Source organism: Homo sapiens, chromosome 7 (genome assembly GCF_000001405.40).
Source record: "Homo sapiens chromosome 7, GRCh38.p14 Primary Assembly".
Lineage (NCBI taxonomy): Eukaryota > Metazoa > Chordata > Mammalia > Primates > Hominidae > Homo > Homo sapiens.
In genome coordinates, this window is record NC_000007.14 from 129,854,364 (window position 1) to 129,875,952 (window position 21,589).

At 40.3% G+C, this 21,589-nt stretch overlaps 1 protein-coding gene across 4 annotated transcripts in view; it reads right to left on the minus strand.

The window, feature by feature from the left end:
• Positions 1–21,589, minus strand: part of UBE2H (ubiquitin conjugating enzyme E2 H) — a 122,229-nt gene that overhangs the window by 23,632 nt on the left and 77,008 nt on the right. For 3 of the 4 annotated variants that reach the window (NM_001202498.2, NM_003344.4, XM_047420796.1), the window contains 2 exons: positions 4,539–4,578; positions 3,148–3,200 (listed from right to left, as the gene is read on the minus strand). The exons of the other annotated variant lie outside the window; for it this stretch is intronic. In NM_001202498.2, coding sequence (NP_001189427.1) covers positions 3,148–3,200; positions 4,539–4,573 — 88 coding nt within the window. In that variant the 5' untranslated portion in view covers positions 4,574–4,578. The remainder of the gene's footprint in view (positions 1–3,147; positions 3,201–4,538; positions 4,579–21,589) is intronic. 4 annotated transcript variants of the gene reach the window in all.

Consider the following 21,589-nt stretch of genomic DNA (forward strand, 5'->3'; position numbering starts at 1 on the left):
ATAGTTTTGAGCAAAATGTCAAAACAATTCTCCCATGCTCAGTGTACTTTTGACTATACTCTGAAAATATTTCTTCTTGTTTTCCTGCACTTACCTGTTAGTGTGCTCACACTCCTGTATTATGGAACATGTTCAGTAACTCATACACATGTAACACAGAAGTCTGCTTTCAGTTCACTTGGACCAACGTGGTTTAACTCTTGCTGCTTATTAAATGCTTTGCAAGCTAATGTAAGTACACTAACATTTTATAAATGTGATGAAAACTTACTCATGTTGGCCACTTTACAAAGTAGTCTATCAGTCCTCAAATAGTTAAACATATTATCCAGCAATTTCACTCCTAGGTATATACCCAAGAGAAATGCAAACATGTCTACACAAATACTTGTGCACAAATATTTATAACACTCATAATAGCCAAAAGACAGCAATAACCCAAATGTCTATTATCTGACAAATAATGTGGTTTATCTACACAATGAAATATTATTCAGCCATAAGAACTTCCGATACATGCAACACGGATCAACCTTGAAAACATTATGCAAAGTGAAAAAAAAAACAGTCACAAAAGACCACATATTATATAATTACGTTTCTAAGAAGTGTCCAGAAAAGACAAATCCACAGAAACAAAAAGCAGATTCGTGGTTGCCTAGGGCGAATAGTTAAAGGGTACACATTTATTTTTGAGGTGATGAAAATGTTCTAAAATTGACTGTGGTGATGGCTGCATATAACTGAATGTATTAAAAACTACTGAATTACACACTTTAAATGGGTGATTTGCATGTCTGTGAATTATAATTCAGTGAAACTGTTATTTTTTTAAAAAACCTGTTCTGAGACATGAAGTACTTGACAGTCAGCAAACATCTTTCACAAAGCTTTTCTGGTCAATGGTAAAAGCTTTAGCAAAACTAAACATCAATTTACTTCATTGTAATTGGAACCAGATTGCAGTATTTTGATATGTACATTTTTAAGATGTGAATGTAGTTTAAGAAAACACATCATTACATCAGATATTCCAGGCAGCCTGCCATGAGACATTTTTACCAAAAAAACCATCTTAAAAGGAATCCATTTAATCAAGCTCGGAGTGTATGTTCTTTCTTGTTGCCTCAACTATATGCCATCATCTCCCCTAAAACTCTCTTGTTAAACAGTTCTGGACATGATTAATTCACTCATTAAGACAACAAATAGTCGAACCCTTATTGTGCACCAGGCACTGTTACAGTCACGTGTGCGTGTGCGTGTGTATAGAGAGAGAGAGACGAGAACAAGACAAAGTCCTCACTCATGGTGCTTACAATCCAAGGGGATAAGATAAATAATATACAAATACCAGTTTTAGAAGCTTATTGAAAACGGGGTACTAGCCAGGCATGGTAGTATGCACCTATAGTCCCAGCTACTGGGGAGGCTGAGATGGGAGGACTGTTCGAGCCTAGGAGCTCAAGGCTGCAGTGAGCTATTATCGCACCACTGCATTCCAGCCTGGGCAACAGAGTGCAACTCTGTTTCTATGTATTAAAAAATAATTTTAAAATTAAAAAATATATATACAACTGGGTGCTGTGCTATGGAGGGGTGTGATTTCAGATGGAGTAGCTGGGAAAGGAAACTGCTCTGAGGAAGTAATATGTGAGATGAGTGAAGAAGGTGCTAACCACACAAAGATCAGGGGGGAATATCCCAGGTAGAGAAAATAATTTTTGAACGGCACAATCAGGTGGAGGCAGGGATTAACTGTGTTCTGCTGGTGACCAACCTTTCTCTGTGATTCTCATTTACCAATCTAGTTCAAGGATATCTGGCAAAAGTAACTTGCAGATTGTGGCTGGACTAAGAAGTCTTACCTACCTCAGACCACTAAAAGGTCGTACAAGTTCAACAAGAAGCAGCCATCCCTGGTTAAGCTCAGCCTCAACTGAGCTTTCCCTTCTTTTCTTGTGCCTCTCAGCAATGGTTACCTGTACCATTCATTCTTTCAACCCATACTGGTGAAGGGCACTGTGATAAGAGTCCTGGGCCTTACAGATGAATCAGACACACACCCGATAGCCCTTAAGATAGGAAATAATCTAGTAGCACAAAAAAATAGGCATAAACAACAAATACACAGTAGAAAGTAAAAGTGGACCATAAAAAAGGAGCTATAAAATGTAATGGTATCCAGAGATTACTTCCAGCTGGAGAATCAGCGGAAGTATACGGGGTAGGAGCACTGGAGTAGGTAGACTCTATGAAGCCTGAGATTTGGACATGTGGAGGGAAAAACAGATTTATTTGTTGTATCCCTAATTAACTTCAAATACACAACTGACCCTTGAACAACATGGGTCCACACACAGTTTGAACTGCATGGGTCCATTCACATGTGGTTTTCAATAAATACAGCTAGCCCTCCATGTCAGTGGGTTTCACAGGGATGACTGTGGGACTTGAGTAAGCATGAATTTTGGTATCTGCAGGTGGTCTGGGAACTGATCCCCTGCAGATACCAAGAGATGACTGTATTTTAACATATTTTCAGCTCCCCAACCAGGTGATAAGGAGGAAAGGCCTGATGCTCTTTATAACTCTCTGGGATATTCAGCATAGCATTTTGCAGAGCTGGGCAATTCATTTGTTGATTCCCTGTAAGAGATGGGGTGTCAATTTCAGCACTGAAGGTAAGGCTAAATTACTCTTCCTTCATAAGGAGGTTTTGGTCTTTGAAAAGATGATCCCCTAAAACCTCTTACTATATCATTGCTCTCTCATTTCAGAGGGACATTCCTAAGTAGTTTTAGTTTTTTCCAAAACCAAAATATGTATATATTATGTGCTAATACATACATATAAAATGTTTGCACATGTATTCATGTGTGTGCGCATGTACTCATGTGTGTGCACATGTATCACTATACCTTAAGTTTGGAATCTCAAAAAATCATTTTAAACTTCCACAGCTAAACTGATATATTTGTACTTAAGAGAAAACATTTTTTCCACTGATCAAACTTTCCCAGTCGGTCCCTCAAAAATCCCTTCCCATTACCAACAAAACATCTTAAACCAGAAAAGAAAAGCCAAACAACATTTTTTTAGGCAATGTCTCAACATCTCCAAAAAATATTCCATGGCCAAACTCACCATAGAGAGCTGTCCAAGTTTGATTAATTACATCTAGACACACAGTTCCTGACCTGAAACAGATGGAAAGAATGGCATGTTTTTAAAAATTAGAAAGTTAGTTGCATGTATCTGGCAACTAATTTTTACTTATCAAGAGAAATACTTCTAATAGATCTGTGAAAAAAAGAATCCCAATTGGGGAAAAGTATGATGAGGAACAGAATAGTACCAGGTCTTGAAGTGTCACCTTACAGACTGAAAGGGGAAAATAGTAACTATGCAATGGAGAAACCAGACAACACCTGAACCAGGTGCTGAGAACACAAGGGGCAGACAGACCTTGTGTGTCTCTGAATGTGATACCCCAAGAAGGACACCATCTTACTTTGTAGTTTTCTGGCCTTAAGTGTGTTCATGCCCTGAATCTAATGATCAGGAAACATCAGACAAACACAAATTGAGGAACAATCTATAAAATAACTGGTCTATGTTATTTTAAAAAGTGAATTTTATAAAAGATAAAGGCAGGCTGAGGAACTAATCCTGATTAAAGCAGTTTAAAGAAACATGACAACTAAATGTAATGTGTGATTCTAGACTGGATCCTTTATTGAAAGAAAAAAGTGCTAAAAAGTAAGTTACTGGAATATGGCAGTAGATTAAATAAGTATTGCATTAACGTTAAATTCCTGAATCTGACAACTATATACTGTGGATAGATAAGAGAATATCCTTGTTAGGATAACTGATACAATAAAATATTAATATTAAAGGACTAAGGGGCATGATGTATGTATATATACAACCTACTCACACAGAGTGCAGAAAAACCTGTTAGGTATGTTTGTGAGAGACAGTAAAACTTAGTGCCATGACAAATTAAAATTGCATCCCAAACAATAATATATTCTAAACAGCACTAGAAGTATAAAACAGGATATGCTGGAATATTTTAAAGTATCATTAATAAAATATTAGAAGGAAAGAAGGGGATAAATAAGATTCATTAACTGAAATGAAACTATAGTCATTTTGCCTTACTATCTATCAAGAATTGAGAAAATATTATAAGATCTGAAAATAGTCTATCTGTAGGCTGAAAACAGATCTCTGAACTGTGTCTACAAAAAGAGAAGTGAGATGTGGAATATTACTACTGTTTGCTGGGTAACAAGAAAAATGAAGGACCCAGTCACGACAATGGAAAAAAATAAGTGGTACAACAGCAGAATGTGAACTAAGTGATTGAGAACCTCATATCCTTTGGATTCTATCATTTACATGACCATTCATACAGTCCTACCTCCTGATAAGGTCCAAAAAGATAACCGAGGCTTTTTATAACACAGAGAAACACTAATCATGAGCAGTTGCTGCTAAAATTGAAACATTTTAAAATAGTTACTTACGCTTCATCAATGTTGGGATGGAAAATTTTATTCATGAATCCTGTAAAAAGAGATGTTAATTAGCAGCAAAAAGTATCCAGAGAACAATAAAAGTATTTCAGTACTGGAAACAATTTCAGTATTGGGAAAAGGTGATAATACTTATAAATCACTACTTTCAACCTTAGATCTTTCATTACTGATAAACATTATATTCTCCTGATAGCTCCAATTATTTGGAATACATCAGCATTCTATTAACAAATGAGCAAACTGGGAGAAATGCAGCTTCTTATACAAAACAATCATTAAAGCAACTGTTTTCTGAGCTATGAAGGTACTGCTCAAAGATAAATTATACTACTAAATGGTTCATAGCCAGTGTCATGATAAAAGTTAAGAAACTTCACTCTCCCAGAAGTTTTGTTGTTCAAGCTCTAAATCTGGAGGTTCTGCATTTCAACTTCTCCTTCTGACGCTCACTTACTGGTATCACTTGGCTGCACTGTGCACGGAACATGAATGAAACTGTTGAAATGCTAAAGGAATACCACTTCAAACCACAAAGGATTTCCTAAAAGCAGTGACCAAAATATTTCCTTTAACATTAGTCTACTCATTCAGGGAAACCCAGTTTTGATTAAAATTGGGGCAACCAAGCAAGGAGTTAAAAAAAATACTCTAAGTTGGCTATATCTGTTGGAGGTTTAAGTTTTTAAAATTTTTCCTAGCAAACCAAGTACACACTTTAATAGCTATATGGCCATTTGAACTTCAAGGAGAAATTAATAAAACCAGTTATTCAGTCAGTCAGTATATATGCAAATGGCAATATTCTAAAGCAGAGATCCATTGTCAAAGGTGTCATTTTGTCATCCTTATCACTTCATTTCCTTTTAGGACTCATTCTGTTCCACACTTTCAATATCTGAAGTTCCTTATTAAGGTGAGTATCACCACCACTATCTCCGACCCCCATCCTCCATCACCCCCATCCCCACAGTCTCTCTCTCTCATATTCATTCAGAACATATTTGGTCAGCACCTACACCGCAGGCATTGTGCTTGGATAGGGTATAAAAATAAGACAGTTCACTATTCTTGAGGAGGTCACTGTGGCAGTGGGACAAGAGACACCAATAAATACCTGCAATCTGAATAAAGTATTGATACAGTAGGCGGAGTAAAATGGGAAGAGTCAGGAAAGATGCAGAGAAATGGCACTGGAGGAGGAGCCTCAAGTGAGGCGCTACAGAGATTGTCTCCAAAAACCTGAGAAACTTCCCCTGAAGTAGAAAACAGGGGATAAGAATACCAAGTCCAAGTAGTCCAGTCTTAGACCACTCTAGTCACTCACACTTTTAACTTTTGTTTTTAAATGCTCTGTGTTGAAACAGCATAATGTTCTATCTACTACAATCAAGAGGGCCTATGTGATGTTTAAGTTACTCTGATGAAAAAAAATCTTTGTGTCCAATATTAATTTTTCATTAAGGAAATTAAAGATGTTTCAAAGTCTAGATTTAAGAAGCATGTGGTTTATGAAGACATTTTAATAATGGGAAATGTTCATGTCTTGGTATTAAGAGGAGAAAAATTAGGGTAAAAAACATTCTACATTAACTTTAGAAAAATACTAATACACATGTCCCAGATGCCCCATGAGAGTATTTGTTGCAATATTATTTATAAAAGCCAACAGCCAAATTCAACCCTGTCAATGGGATAGGGTTGGATAAAGGGGAGTACATCCATCTACCTGAGTCCTATACAGCCAAGGGTAATGAAGTAGATCCATGTGTATCAACTTGTATACATCTAAAGCTGAGTTTTGTTTTTTTTTTTTAAGTTGCAGGATGTTATATTTACAGGCTGAGGTTATTTAAATAAACTAAAACAAACAACTACCAATTCTCCATGGTAACAAGTATAGGAAAACTGTACTGAACCAACATATACCAAATTTGCAAAAGTAATTGTTTCAGTTAGGGCACAGGGCCAGGGTCATGATAGGAAAAGGGAACAGAAGAGGAAACAGTGGTTAAAAATGACTTTATCTGGCCAGGCACGGTGGCTCATGCATGTAATCCCAGCACTTTGGGAGGCCAAGGTGGGTGGATCACCTGAGGTCAGGAGTTCAAGACCAGCCTGGCCAACATGGTGAAACCCTGTCTCTAGTAAAAAGAAATAAAAAATTAGCTGAGTGTGGTGGCGTGTGCCTGTAGTCCCAGCTACTCGGGAGACCGAGGTAGAGAATCACTTGAACCCAGGAGGCGGAGCTTGCAGTGAGCCAAGATCACGCCACTGCACTCCAGCCTGGGTGACGGAGTGAGACTGTCTTTAAAAAAAAAAAAAGACTTTAACACTATTAATATATTCCTTTTAAAAAGGGACAATGTGCTTCTATATTATTTGCTCTGTTTAAAACATATGCACATAAATAAGAAACTGAAAGTAAGTACAAATGTTAACAGTGTAGAATTCTTAGTGGTGGTAGTATTTTCTCCGCTGCACTTTTCAAATCTCATCACCACCTCACCACACCTGAACCAGAACTAGGATCACAGCAATGGGAAAAGGCTAGAAGAAAACAGGTGTGGATGGTTGTCATGTTTGCAAGATTCTCCCATTATTTCTACTTGCACTTTTGGCTCTCTGACATTTCTACAATGTGTAATTTTAATAGTTGAGCTTAAAAAAACTCCGAAATAAAAAGTTATCATAGTATCAGCTGGCCACAGTGGCTCTCGCCCGTAATCCCAACACTTTGGGATGCTAAGACGGACGGATTACTTGATGTCAGGAGTTTGAGACCAGCCTGGCCAACATGGTGAAACCCCATCTGTAACGAAAATACAAAAATTAGCCGGGCATGTGGCGCCCACCTGTAGTCCCAGCTACTCAGGAGGCTGAGGCAGGAGAATTGCTTGAACCTGGGAGGTGGCTGCAGTGAGCCGAGATCATGCCACTGCACTCCAGCCTGGAAGCCAGAGCTAGACTCCGTTTCCAAAAAAAGTTATACATAGTATCAAACATTCTAAAATAGACTGAATTACACAAGCATTAACTAGTGCTGAACTATTTTAAGAAAAAGCCAGTAAAACCAACCATTTTATTTGAAATCTCGTATCTTAACACTCTTGTTCAAATAATACAAATTCATTACCCTCCCCCTAAAATCAGAGGAACCTCAGGTTATAAGGTACGTGGTCCTCAAGATCAGTTATATATAGGAGTATGCTGCTATCACTACTGCAGGGAAGCTTTCTGATGAGTGGGGAACAATGCTGAGCCACTATGTGGTTTAATGCAAGAGAATGGTCCTACTATATGAAAAATATTGCCTGAAGCTACTATTAAGAATTAAAAATACGTTCTTGATACTTAAAATCCTGCCTCTGTGAGAACTCTCAAAACTAACACCTAATGAAGCAACGTCTATGGCAAAGGTTCCCAATGCTGGCTACAGATGAGAAGCACTGGGAAGTTTTCATTTAAACTAAAACCAATACTCAAAGACACAGGACTTAAGGGGAAATACCTGTAAGGAAAGGTCTTTAGAAAAAATAAGTCCTACATTAGAAGGTCACCAGCATTATGGAGAAAAACACAGCAAAGGAGGAAAACAGAAATGGAAAGGTTGGGGCGGGGTGGCAATTTTAAATGAGATGGTCAGGAAGGGACTTCCTGAGAAAGTGACTTGCTTTGAAGGAGGTGAAAGAGGAGCCACCTGGTACCAAGAGGAGAGGAGAAGGTCACTATAGAGGGAACAGCCAAGTGCAAAGCACATTAGGAGCTTGCCTGATGCTCTGAAGTTTTTTCCTGAAACTGAAGGGATTTGAAAAAGGGGCAGAAAATGAGAAGTGATGTCACAGAGGTGATCAGCATTTGGGGCCCTTTTAAGGACACTGGCTTTTATTCAAGGGAGATGGGGGGGCCACTGAGACTAGTGCCTGAACAGTGACATATTCACATACTTGGCTTAACAAATGGCTTGTGTCCTAAAATAGGCTAGTTGGGGAACAGCTCAATCAGCTCACAGCACCTGAGTGCTGGGGAATGGCAGATCTCAAGCAAAACAAAATGGGAATCCTACAGGGCATTATGCTTCAACGATCTGAGGCCACGGGGCATTTAAAGGTGTTAAGTCAAGCAAATAACTATGGTAAGCTTTAAATGTTTATCAAAACGTCTCTGAAAGACTAAGGTGCCTCCCTCATTGGACATGACCTGGAGAGCACACTTGGAATTAACAGTGTCTATACAGTTTTCAATTAAATCTAGATTTGGCTTAGTTGAGTACAGGAATAAATAACAGAACCAAAAAGGACTTGGTAAACATACGCTTTAGTAATAAATGGTTTGGAGCTCAGTCTCCAGTGCCCCTGCTAAGTACAGAACACCATCTGAGCACTAGTACAGAGGGCAGAATCACACCACAAAGCAAAGTACTAAACAGGGACATGGGTTCTAGCCTCAACTAATCAACTGCAGGCCCTGGGCAAGTCACTTCACCTTGTGGGGTCTGTTTCTTTACCTACGAAGACAAATAGTTGAACTATATGATCTCCCAAATCTCCACTCTTACTCTATTTCTGAAGGCCCTATCAGCTCTAAAAATCTAGCATTTAATAACAATGGCAAGCACTCTGAGAACAGAGGAATTATGGGGAAATATCCAAGAGTTAAGTCCTTAAAGGAAATTAATTCTGTAAGGCAGCATTTTTAGGTACAGAAATTTTCTAGAGAATACAAAACCACCAACATGATAAAATACCATAAAGAGCCACAAAACAAACCCTCTGACTCTTCTAAAGTAGGCAGAAACAGTTTATAACCTTGCCTTTGAGGGATGAACACAACCAGACCAACTCTATCAAGAAACTTTCTACTTTCTAAACTAAAATGATCTCTTCCAATACTAGGTGTTTTTTTTTTTTTTTGAGATAAGGTCACTTCGTCACCCAGGCAGGAGTGTGGTGGTGCAGCACCTTGCTCACTGCAACCTCCGCCTCCTGGGTTCAAGAGATTCTCCTGCCTCAGCCTCCCAAGTAGCTGGGATTACCACAACCAGCTAATTTTTGTATTTTTTCGTAGAGATAGGGTTTCACCATGTTGGCCAGGCTGGTCTTGAACTCCTGACCTCAAGTGATCCACCCACCTCAGCCTCCAAAAGTGTGGGGAATTACAGGCGTGAGCCACTGCACCTGGCCCTCAGGCTTAATTGTTAGAAAAATATCCAAAGCAAATACATGGAAAAAAGCATATCTCCTTGACATTTGTTCTTAGACAAGCTGTGGGCAGTGTTTCTGGCAAAGCCATTTACATTCTGGATAATGATGCCAACAATGGAACTCCTGGACAAGGAGGGGGGAGACAGAGAAAGAACGGGCCAGAAATTCGGAAAAGGAATGTTCTCAGGACTGTGTTGAGTTGGCCCTGGCATGTTCTCCTTCCTTTTGGCAATGCTATCATCACATTAATGAATATGTCTGCAACAAGGGAATTTTCCCAACACTTGTTTCCATTAGACCAGGAACTATTTTCAAGATATTTTAAGAGAACATATTTTGAAAACTGCTTTTATGGCAACATAAGTAGAAGTAGCAGGTTATTTTTAATCTTCATGATTTAAGATTTTATTCACTACCAGGCATTTTCTTTTTCTTTTCTTTCTTTTTTTTTTTTTTTGAGACAGAATCTCACTCTATCACTCAGGCTGGAGTGCAGTGGCGATCTCGGCTCACTGCAGCCTCCACCTCACGGGTTCAAGCTATTCTCCTGCCTCAGCCTCTCAAGTAGCTGGGACTACAGGTGCCCACCACCACACCCAGCTAATTTTTTTGTATTTTTAGTAGAGATGGGGTTTCACCATGTTAGCCAGGATCGTCTTGATCTCCTGACCTCGTGATCCACCCACCTCAGCCTACCAAAGTGCTGGGATTACAGGAGTGAGCCACCGTGCCCGGCCACTACCAGACATTTTCTAACAACATATTTCAGTGATTTGACCAGATTAAAATCAGAACTCCTTAAGTTTTTTGGACAGTTATTCTCTGGCGTAGTTCTAGCACTCGTTAAAGGGGATGGGGAGGATCGTACAACAGGAATAAATGTCCAGCTAAAATGCTTACCCTTCTCTGTCCTGCGTCTTTTAGCAGAAGGGAATTAGGTAATTTATAATTCTGGAGAAGGAATCCAAATCACACTTAATGTAAAACTATTATTATATATCTTAAAAAATAAAAAGTACAGATTACAACAGAAAAATATGCCTTGCTTTTGCTTGTTCCACTCCAATACTCAACTGCTCTAGAATAACAAATCTCATGACCCATAGGCTAATAGGCAGTGAAAATAAATAACATTGTGCTAAGTCATGCTGAAAAACTGGTTTTTATTTCAGCCTCTGTGTCCAGTCCCAGGAAGGGGTCTATACAGAGTTGCACACACTTCTGAGTAACTTCTGACATTGGGGTCAATATGTAAATAAATGAGGCCAAGCTTCACCTATTTTTCCATCTTTGTTCCCTTTATTTGAGAGGATATTAATGATCAAATTTGTGGGTAGATGAAATACTTTGGGCCAATCACCAGAAATTTCACCTGTCAGAATTATCTTGACAAAAGGAGAGGTTAGACAAACGACTTGTGAATCAAGGTAAATCCACCCTACGGTAAACGGGTGAAGATCACCAAAGGCCAAAACAGCAGCTACATCCCAGGGATAAAATAAGCCTAGGCTAAGGTGGTTCAGACAGCTGTGGCTGATGCAATTGCATTATAAGCTTATGAATTCCTGTGAGAAAACAGTTAAGTGAATACATTAAGTCATTCTGATCGTCTATCTTCAGAACAACTGCCCACATAAAGTAGACTGTTCACAACCAAACTGATTAATTCTATTTTTTCAGTAGGTATAATTGTTTAAAATATTCTTATTAAAGACTGAATCTCATCTTCCCTTGCAGTATCTCAGACTATAAATTATTTAAGGGTAATAACTTGGATCTCTGTTCCTAGCACACAGGGTGACCAGAGTAGGGGTGTTCCAATTGAGTAAGGGTGGGGGGGTGCTGCCAGCTCCACTAGTGACAGACATTGGCCAGCTATGTGCAGGAGTCCACAATCTGATAGATTTTCATCTAACCTCAGACAGCCAGGCCCCACCTGAGGCAGCCTGTGCCCGGGTAGAAATCTCTTCAGAAATCTGAGCCTTTCCTACTCAGGAGAGATGGACCTGGGCCTGTCTCTTCTTGGGTGAGGAACCAGGCAAGGAGCTCACTCTCAATGCCCTGTGTCATGGGAACTTCTGAACTGATCCTGTGTGTGTTCAGGAGATCTAAACTCAACAAGGGGTCCTCTTTTCTGTTTCTTCCTTTCTCTCTGGTAATATAGAGTCTGAGGAATGGGCTAGATGGATAAGAAAAGGTCATTTATAACTAAGAAAAGGTGAAGTGTTATCCTTCAATAGCATAACCCTTCTACCAACCTAGTGGATTATCAAAACCTCTGGCCTACTTTCCTTTGGTTTCATTTTTGGGAGACTAACTTCTGTTTTGTTTTCATAGTTTATCTTTCGATCGCTGGGTCGTTCATATAACCACACTGTTGGGTTCAGGCAGTACTTATTTTCATGGTCAGAGACAATACAGTACAGAATACATTGGACTTGAACTCACAAGACCCAACTACAATTCTCTACCACTCTTAGAGTTGTAGTTAAAAGATCAGGCTCCAAAAGATAAATGTTTGAGGTGACAGATATCCCAATTACCCTGTTTTGATCATTACGTATTGCATATATGTACCAAAATAGCACATGTACCCCAAAAATGTGTGTAACTGATGTAACAATACATTTTTTAAAAAGGACCAGGCTCCAGTCAGAATGCCTAAATGCCACTGTGTGAGCCTCTGGGGCAATCTACTTCATCTCTTTGCCTTTCTGTTCCCTTATTCCTAAAACTAGGTTAAATAATGGTATCTACACATCATTAATCGTGAAGATTAAATGAGTTAATATATGTAAAGCATTTGAACAGTAACTGGCATACAGTAAGCATGCAGTAATGTTAGAATTAGCTTAATAAGTTAAATGAACAAGTAATTTCATCTTACTGTCTTCATCCTAAAACTGATTAATATTTACCCTATGTGTCCATCTCTTAATGCTCTTACAAGTGTGAAGAACATGAGAGGATATTATGATTTACATATGTTTCCCATAACTCTGTCACACTAGAAATGGAAAATACAATTATAATTTTTATTTTTAATATTTATTATTTGTGTGACACAGCCCCAGGAGGTCCTGAGAACATGTGCCCCATATTTATTATTAAGAAGACCATCCTACACATGCACACGTATGTTTATTGCGGCACTATTCACAATAGCAAAGACTTGGAACCAACCCAAATGTCCAACAATGATAGACTGGATTAAGAAAATGTGGCACATATACACCATGGAATACTATGCAGCCATAAAAAATGATGAGTTCATATCCTTTGTAGGGACATGGATGAAATTGGAAACCATCATTCTCAGTAAACTATCGCAAGAACAAAAAACCAAACACCGCATATTCTCACTCATAGGTGGGAATTGAACAATGAGATCACATGGACACAGGAAGGGGAATATCACACTCTGGGGACTGTGGTGGGGTCGGGGGAGGGGGGAGGGATAGCATTGGGAGATATACCTAATGCTAGATGACACATTAGTGGGTGCAGCGCACCAGCATGGCACATGTATACATATGTAACTAACCTGCACAATGTGCACATGTACCCTAAAACTTAGAGTATAATAAAAAAAAAAAAAAAAAAGAAAACCAAAAAAAAAAAAAAAAAAGAAGACCATCCTTTCTTGATGTGCAAGCAAAAATTAGATTAAAAAAAAAAAACATCCTGACTGCATTTGGTATAGTTAAAAAACAAGCACACACACACTAAACTGGAAGCCAGAAGATGGACTCTGCAACTAGTGCGTAGTCATACATCTCAGCCTCATTTTTTTCCATCCTTAAAATCAGGCAAATTGGATGTCATAATCTCTAAACTTCCACTAACAACACAGTTTTCACCAACACCAGGAATATAAGCAAATCTCAAACTGTGAACAGGTTTCTAAAAAGAACTAAGACATTGCTTTTGTTGTTTTCAAAAGAATTTCAGTTTAAAGAAAAAGGAAGCCAAAAATACTTGTTTTCATTATGACACCAAATCCTAAAGGGAAAGAAATAGATTTAATGCCAAAAAGATGTCAGAATAACCAGCTCAAAAGCTAGAGGTCACCCAATACAGAGTAGGAACTAACCTAGGCAGCAAGTGTGATGGAAGTTTTAAATAGCAAATGAAAAGATTATATAATAATGAGCTGTCAAAGGCAGAATTAAAACTGGCATAAGTCAACTTCAAGAAAGAAATGGACTGTAATCCCAGCACTTTGGGAGGCCGAGGCGGGTGGATCATGAGGTCAGGAGATCGAGACCATCCTGGCTAACAAGGTGAAACCCCGTCTCTACTAAAAATACAAAAAATTAGCCAGGCGCGGTGGCGGGCGCCTGTAGTCCCAGCTACTCGGGAGGCTGAGGCAGGAGAATGGCGTGAACCCGGGAAGCGGAGCTTGCAGTGAGCCGAGATTGCGCCACTGCAGTCCGCAGTCCGGCCTGGGCGACAGAGCGAGACTCCGTCTCAAAAAAAAAAAAAAAAAAAAAAAAAAGAAAGAAATGGACAAGTCCTCTGATAGTAACAAGCATATGCAAAAGCAGGGTTATCCTTAGAGGTGGCAGCCTGGGGAATGGGGTGGGAAAGCTAACTGTACTATTTTTACTCTGGCTAATAACAAGATGAAGGTAAATGAATTTAGACATTACAGCCTGCTCACAGCAGGTTTCACATTAAAAGGGCCCATTTGACCACTGGCTTCTCTCACTGAGAACTTCAGCACCTGGCTTGGCCCCCAAGTTGCTCTCTGCCCCAACTCCTGTCATTTTTGGTGACAATATAGACCATACTCCTGACACCCGGGTCTCTCTCTCTCTCTTTTTTTTTTTTTTTTTGGAGACAGAGTTTCATTCTTGTTGCCCAGGCTGGAGTGCAATGGCGCGATCTCGGCTCACTGCAACTTCTGCCTCCGGGGTTCAAGTGATTCTCCTGCCTCAGTCTCCTGAGTAGCTGGGATTACAGGCATGTGCCACCATGCCCAGCTAATTTTGTATTTTTAGTATAGAGACGGGGTTTCTCTATGTTGGTCAGGCTGGTCTTGAACTCCTAACCTCAGGTGATCCGCCTGCCTCGGCCTCCCAAAGTGCTGGGATTACAGACGTGAGCCACCGTGCCCGGCTTGTTTCTTAAGCTTCTCCTCAGTGACCTTCTATTCCATTCCACTTCATGCTCCCCAGGACATACCCTGACCTTTGTCATTCCCTCCACAATTACATATTTACCTCCACAATCACAAATTTAGACATCTCCTATCCTACCAATCCCCTGTCCTTGCCAAAAGCTTCCCACCCCAGGAATCATTAATTCTTTCACCTGTTAACTGTAATCCACAGATTCTCCCATTTTCTTCCCAACTACCAGCCCTCTTATCTTCACTGGCTTCTTACTCAGCTTAAGATTTAAGAGCCATCACCATCCTCACTCTCAAGCAATCCTCTGCAAATCCCCTGTCCTCTCCCCTCCAAAATGCCCATCTAGCAAAGCTACCACAGGAAGCATCATTCACATTTGCTCAACTTGGACTTGAGGGTACCAGTAGGTAGGCATTCATTCACTCACACGAATATTCTTCTGCAGAAAGGGCACTGTATCAGGCCCTGAGTAGTGAGTATTTGGGAGGACAGGGGTGGTGGTAGCAAAACAGACCCAGGGGCTGCCTTCATGGAGTTCACATCTACTGAGCTGGCAGGGAGGAGAGACATAAGTAAACAAATATATACCAGTTTATCTAAACATGCTCAACAGCCTTTCTTGGACTCAGCATCACCTACAATCTTCCCTTCCCCTTTCTCTAGTGGGTCGCTCCCCCAGTCTCCCATGACTGTTACATTTTACCACAATCCTGCAAATCTACTTTCTTTCTCTCCCTTTGTTCCCCTAACTCTCTCCTCTAGTTCTTTCACTAAATAGCCTTGTCCCTTTTCTTTGAGAAGATGAAAGCCAATTGGCAGGATTCTTCATTTTCCATAAAAATTTCTAAACTCCTCCCTGCACACATACTCTTTCTCCCTGCCTCAACAGCTTGCACACATGTTCCCCTCTTCTCAAACACCAGGCCTCTGGGTTCTGATCCTGCTCCCTCCTTCCTTCTCGATGGTGGTGCTCCTGCAATTCTCTTCCCAACTCCAGCATCACCAAGCTCTCCCTTTTCTAAACATCTCTCTACAATAAGCACTTTAAAATCCTTCAGAATCTTCCATTTAAAAATTAAAAACAGGCCAGGCATGGTGGCTCACACCTGCTGTCCCAGCACATTGGGAGGCCAATGTGGGCAGATCGCTTGAGTATAGGAGTTCAAGACCAGCCAGAGCAACATGGTGAAACCCATGGCTACAAAAAATGCAAAAAAATTAGCCAAGCGTGGTGGCCCATGCCTGGAGTCCAGGAGGTCCAAGCTGCAGTGAGCCACGATTATGCCACTGCAGTCCAGCTTGGATGATTTCCTTAATGGAGCCACATGTCTTCACAGCGGTGTATGTCTAGAACAAAGTTTCTTGACCTTGGCAGCCTTGTCCAAGCCACCAGCATCTCCGGCTACAAAAGCTTTTATAACTGTGCTTCTATCCCGTCACTGTGTCTTGCCCCACAGCAGTAGAATGATCATTAAAAAAACAAAATCAGACCTTTCACTCCCCTGCTGAAAACTATGTAATCTTTCTATTACATTTAAAATGAAAGTCGAGCCTTTAACCTGGCCTACAAAGCGGTCTGTGAACTCAACCCTGCCTGCCACTTGGCCCGTGTGTCACACACCTCACATTTTACCCAGTTTTCCAGGCTGGGGCCTTTGTACTCAAAATTTCTTCTGCCTGGAAAGCTCTTACCCCTGATTTTGGAGGATCAGGGCTGGTTTTTGTTTTGTTTTGTTTTTAATCTTTTTAAGTCTCAGCTTAAATTTACTTTGTCAGACCCTTCCTGAATATCTGATCCAAGGTACCTATTCTATCCATTAATTCTCTGCATAAAGCTATCAGAAGTTTTAAATTTTGCTTTATCTTCGCACTCCAAAAGAACATAAAGTATTAAGAGAGCAATTTGTTCACTTCTGTATCTACAGCACCCAGAATAACGCCCAGCTCGCAGTAGGTATCCAATAACTTTGTGAAACTGATTGGAAGGATGATGTATGCCACAGCCAAAGCCTCAGCTGCCAGACATAATTTTTGAAAAATGTTATTTTCAGAACACCAGTAAAAGAGCTTTTAACAATGGCTTATATTCTCATAGCATTATCTCTATTTATTTTTTTACAAAACCTTCCTTACTTACTAGAACCTTGTTTCTCTCTACTGGAATTCAAAAGATACTTATCATTGGCCAGGCACGTTGGCTCACGCCTGTAATCCCAGCACTTTGGGAGGCCAAGGCAGGCAGATCACCTGAGGTCAGGAGTTCGACACCAGCCTGGGCAACATGGTGAAACCCCATCTCTCCTACAATACAAAAATTAGCTTGGCGTGTTGGCACATGCCTGTAATCCCAGCTATTCGGGAGACTGAGGCAGGAGAATCACTTGAACCCGGGGGGCAGAGGTTGCAGTAAGCTGAGATTGTGCCATTGCACTCCAGCCTGCACAACAGAACAAGACTCTGTATCAAAAAAAAAAAAAAAAGATATAGATCACTACAGAGTAGCCATTATGTAACTGTTTGGGACAGGACTAAAGTCATAACCACGGTTATTAGAGAAGTACACAGGTGATCTGAATGGAATTTTGCCTCCCCAGCCCCAAAATTCATTTTATTTGAGACGGAGTCTCACTCTTGTCGCCCAGGCTGGAGTGTAGCAGCGCCATCTCAGCTCACTGCAACCTCTGCCTCCTGGGTTCAAGTAATTCTCCTTCCTCCGTCTCTCGAGTAGCTGGGATTACAGGCACGCGCCACCATGCCCGGCTACTTTTTATATATATATATTTTTAGTAGACACGGGGTTTCACCATATTGGTGAGGCTGGTCTCGAACTCCTGGCCTCAAGTGAACCTCCTGCCTCGGCCTCCCAACGTGCTGGTATTACGGGCATGAGTCATCGTGCCCAGTCACAGAATTCATTTTATTTGTGAAAATACAGTGGTACAAGTAGGCCTTTGTTAAATGACTAACCTGAAACCTCTTGTGAATGACAAACTCCTCTCTACTGCAAATACTGGCCCATCCCTGCTTAAATACTGCTCAATGAAGTTACTCATGCTAGTTCTTGAGGGAGTAACTCTAGAATGATTCCATCTAGGAAGACATAAGATAAAATGGTAAGTATTCTAAGTTCTATAGGTAGTTTAGTCATGCCATATTATAAACCTCCACTCCAAAAATAGTGTGAGGTCATTTCTGGCCAGAGTGAAATAAAAAATGTATAATGCCTGAACAGTCTATTATTCTGACAATGAAAAAGATTAATGCAGTTCCCTTTATCACTTGCATGAGTAAAAAAATATATATATATATTGGCTGGGCGCGGTGGCTCACGCCTGTAATCTCAGCACTGTGGGAGGCCAAGGTGGGTGGATCACCTGAGGTCAGGCATTTAAGACCAGCCTGGCCAACATGGTGAAACCCCGTCTCTACTAAAAAACACAAAAATTAGCAGGGCATGATGGAGCATGCCTGTAATCCCAGCTACTCAGGAGGCTGAGGCAGGAGAATTGCTTGAACCCGGGAGGCAGAGGTTGCAGTTAGCTGCAATGGTGCTGCCACTGCACTCTGGCCTAGGTGACAGAGCAACACTCCGTCTCAAAAAAAAAAAAAAAAAAAAAAAAAAAGAATTATGGCACACTGGTTATCAGAGTATATGCCAGACTGGGAGATTTAAGAGGAACTCTGACAGGCTGTCCAGTCTAGTGGAACAGGGCAACCTAAACCATCCTGATAGTTTGACCCAATTTTAAAGGCCATTAATATAGCTCAGAGTTTTTTTTTTTTTTTTGAGACAAGAGTCTCGCTCTGTTGCCCAGGCTGGAGTGCCGTGGCGCGATCTTGGCTCATGCAAGCTCCGCCTCCCGGGTTCACGCCATTCTCCTGCCTTAGCCTCCCAAGTAGCTGGGAATACAGGCGCCCGCCACCATGCCCAGCTAATTTTTTGTATTTTTTAGTAGAGACAGCATTTCACTGTGTTAGCCAGGATGGTCTCGATCTCCTGACCTCGTGATCCACCCGCCTCAGCCTCCCAAAGTGCTGGGATTACAGGCATGAGCCACCACGCCCAGCCAGCTCAGAGTATTTTAACTATTGTATTGCCCATGACTTTTTCATTTTGTCTCCATTTACTCAAATGGGTTTGGCAAGTTCTTGCTTCATGCCACTAACATCAAATTCTTTTTTTTTTTTTTTTTTTTAATTTCTTGAGACCGGTTTCACTCTGTCACCCAGGCTGGAGTGCAGTGATGCTATCTCAGCACACTGCAACCTCTGCCTCCTGGGCTCAAGTGATTCTCCCACCTCAGCCTCCCGAGTAGCTGGAACTAAAGGTATACACCACCATGCCCAGCTAATTTTTGTATTTTTTTTTTTAGAGATGGGGTTTCTCCATATTGCTCAGGGTGGTCTCAAACCCCTTGTCTCCAGTGATGTGCCCACTTCGGCCTCCCCAAAATGCTGGGATTACAGGATGAGCCACTGCGCTCGGCCTCACATCAAGTTCTATGGCAGCACGAGCTTGCTGGTTTTGTACCTGACCATTCTACCAACATTCAGCAAACCATTCAGCAGTCCCTCCAGAATCCTGTTCTCAACCATTTCTCTTACCTTCCCAGCTTTGGTATCATCAAATTGCAACCCAGAGGCAATGCATACAGCCTGCTCCTAGTAGAGGGTCCTCCTCACTGAAAATATGTAGATATAGATCGGTAGCATTTCACAAATTGGTTTCTAAACTTGTTACCTGTACCTTATAACACAGTTTTCTAATTTTTAAGAAGTATAAATGATGACAGGGTTCCTAGGCTGCTCTTAAAGTTATTTACAAAAGATTCTAAAATATTCTATAGTTCTATCTGAAATTAGGATACAATTCTGTTAATAGTAGCCAATAATCATTTAAATGTAAGATAAAATGACATCTTAATTTTATCTGGAATGCTAGTGTTTAAGTAAAGTAGATATGATATGAAGGAGAATATAATAGATCCAGAAGAGAACTTCTGGATGTTGCAAGATCTTTAGTGGCTATAAGCCCTGAATTTAATTTTTTTTATATATATAATTTTTTTTTTTTTTTTGAGACAGAGTCTCGCTCTGTTGCCCAGGCTGGAGTGCAGTGGCACGATCTTGGCTCCCTGCAGGCTACGCCTCCTAGGTTCACGCCATTCTCCTGCCTCAGCCTCCTGAGTAGCTGGGACTACAGGTGCCCGCCACCACGCCCAGCTAATTTTTTGTATTTTTAGTAGAGACGGGGTTTCACTGTGTTAGCCAGGATGGTCTCAATCTCCTGAGGTCATGATCCACCCGCCTCGGCCTCCCAAAGTGTTGGGATTACTGGCGTGAGCCACCACACCCGGCCCTGTATCTTTTATTAGAAGACTTTTATATTTTTTTTCCCTTGGCTTAGGCTTATCAAAAGTATCCCCATTATGATTATTAGCTCTAAAGAGGGGCATTTTTCAGTTCATATGAAGAGAAAAATGCAACAACGGAAGGGGGAAGTGGAAGAGTCAGGCAGAAAAGAAAAAGGTGAGAAGTACTTGAGGTAACCACCCAAGAGAAGAGAAAAAGGGGGAAGAAAGAAGTGAAGAAAGTTGCGCGTAAAGACAGTATCTGAGATGGACTAAACTCTAAACTCTAAGCAGAAAACAAAGGAAGGAAAACAGTGTGTGCACTTATACACACACATAATTAAAATTTAAAGGAAAAAAGAAGGGAGGCTGCTGGGAAACACGTGGGTTAGGCAGGTCCTGAGCAAGCTACCACAGGGAATTCTGGCCAAGCCTGATGGCTTTCTAGAGCAAAAGACAGCAAAGTGTAGACTCAGACAATGATACAGACAGGACAGTCAAAAGACATACATTTGCAATATGATTAAAAATATTTACTTTTATAATAAAAGCAAACATTGTAGACTATTTGGAAATTACAGAAAAGTATGTTTTTAGTCTCCTTTAACTGAACAGCTATGGATAACATCAATAGTTTGGCATTCAAATGTGAAATGTATAGGAAAAAATTAGAGTTGTACTATATAAAAAACATTTTCCTGTGTGTCCCTTCAAAGAGGTGTTAAAACATGACTAATGGGTAAAACATTTTATCCACTAAGATGCACTATCACTTAGCTACTTTATCACCGACTGGGTCATTTAGGTTGCTTCTGACTTTTAAGTATTATAACACTAAAATTTACGTATTCTTTTGACAGTGCACATTTCTAAATATTTCTTTAGATAATTTTTAACTTTTTAAATAAAATTATTTGAAGGATATAAAATATTTACCAAGCAATACATAGTGGTAGACTGGCTGTATCATAATACCTTTTCTAACACTGTTTTATCTGCCAGTTTGACAAATCATATACTGTACTTTCGTTTTAATCTGCATTCTTTTGGATTAGACATAAAACCATTTTGTATCCTCTGCTTATTTTTTTTTATTAAAAATTACTCTGTATTACCCTCTTCTATGAGATCATTCATCTTTATTTCACCCACACTGTAACTGCAAGTCTGTTTGGTGAAAGCTTTCACTTAACAGCTGAGCACAAGTATCAAAGGCTAAAAACTGTGAACCTCGAGAAGTGTGAGCTATGGCAGTCTCTGCAGCAATTTCTTTGCATAAAACAAAATCTTCATGAACTGGGGATTACTTGGGGTTCTGAATGAGTATCTCTAAAGTCCTCATGCACACCTCA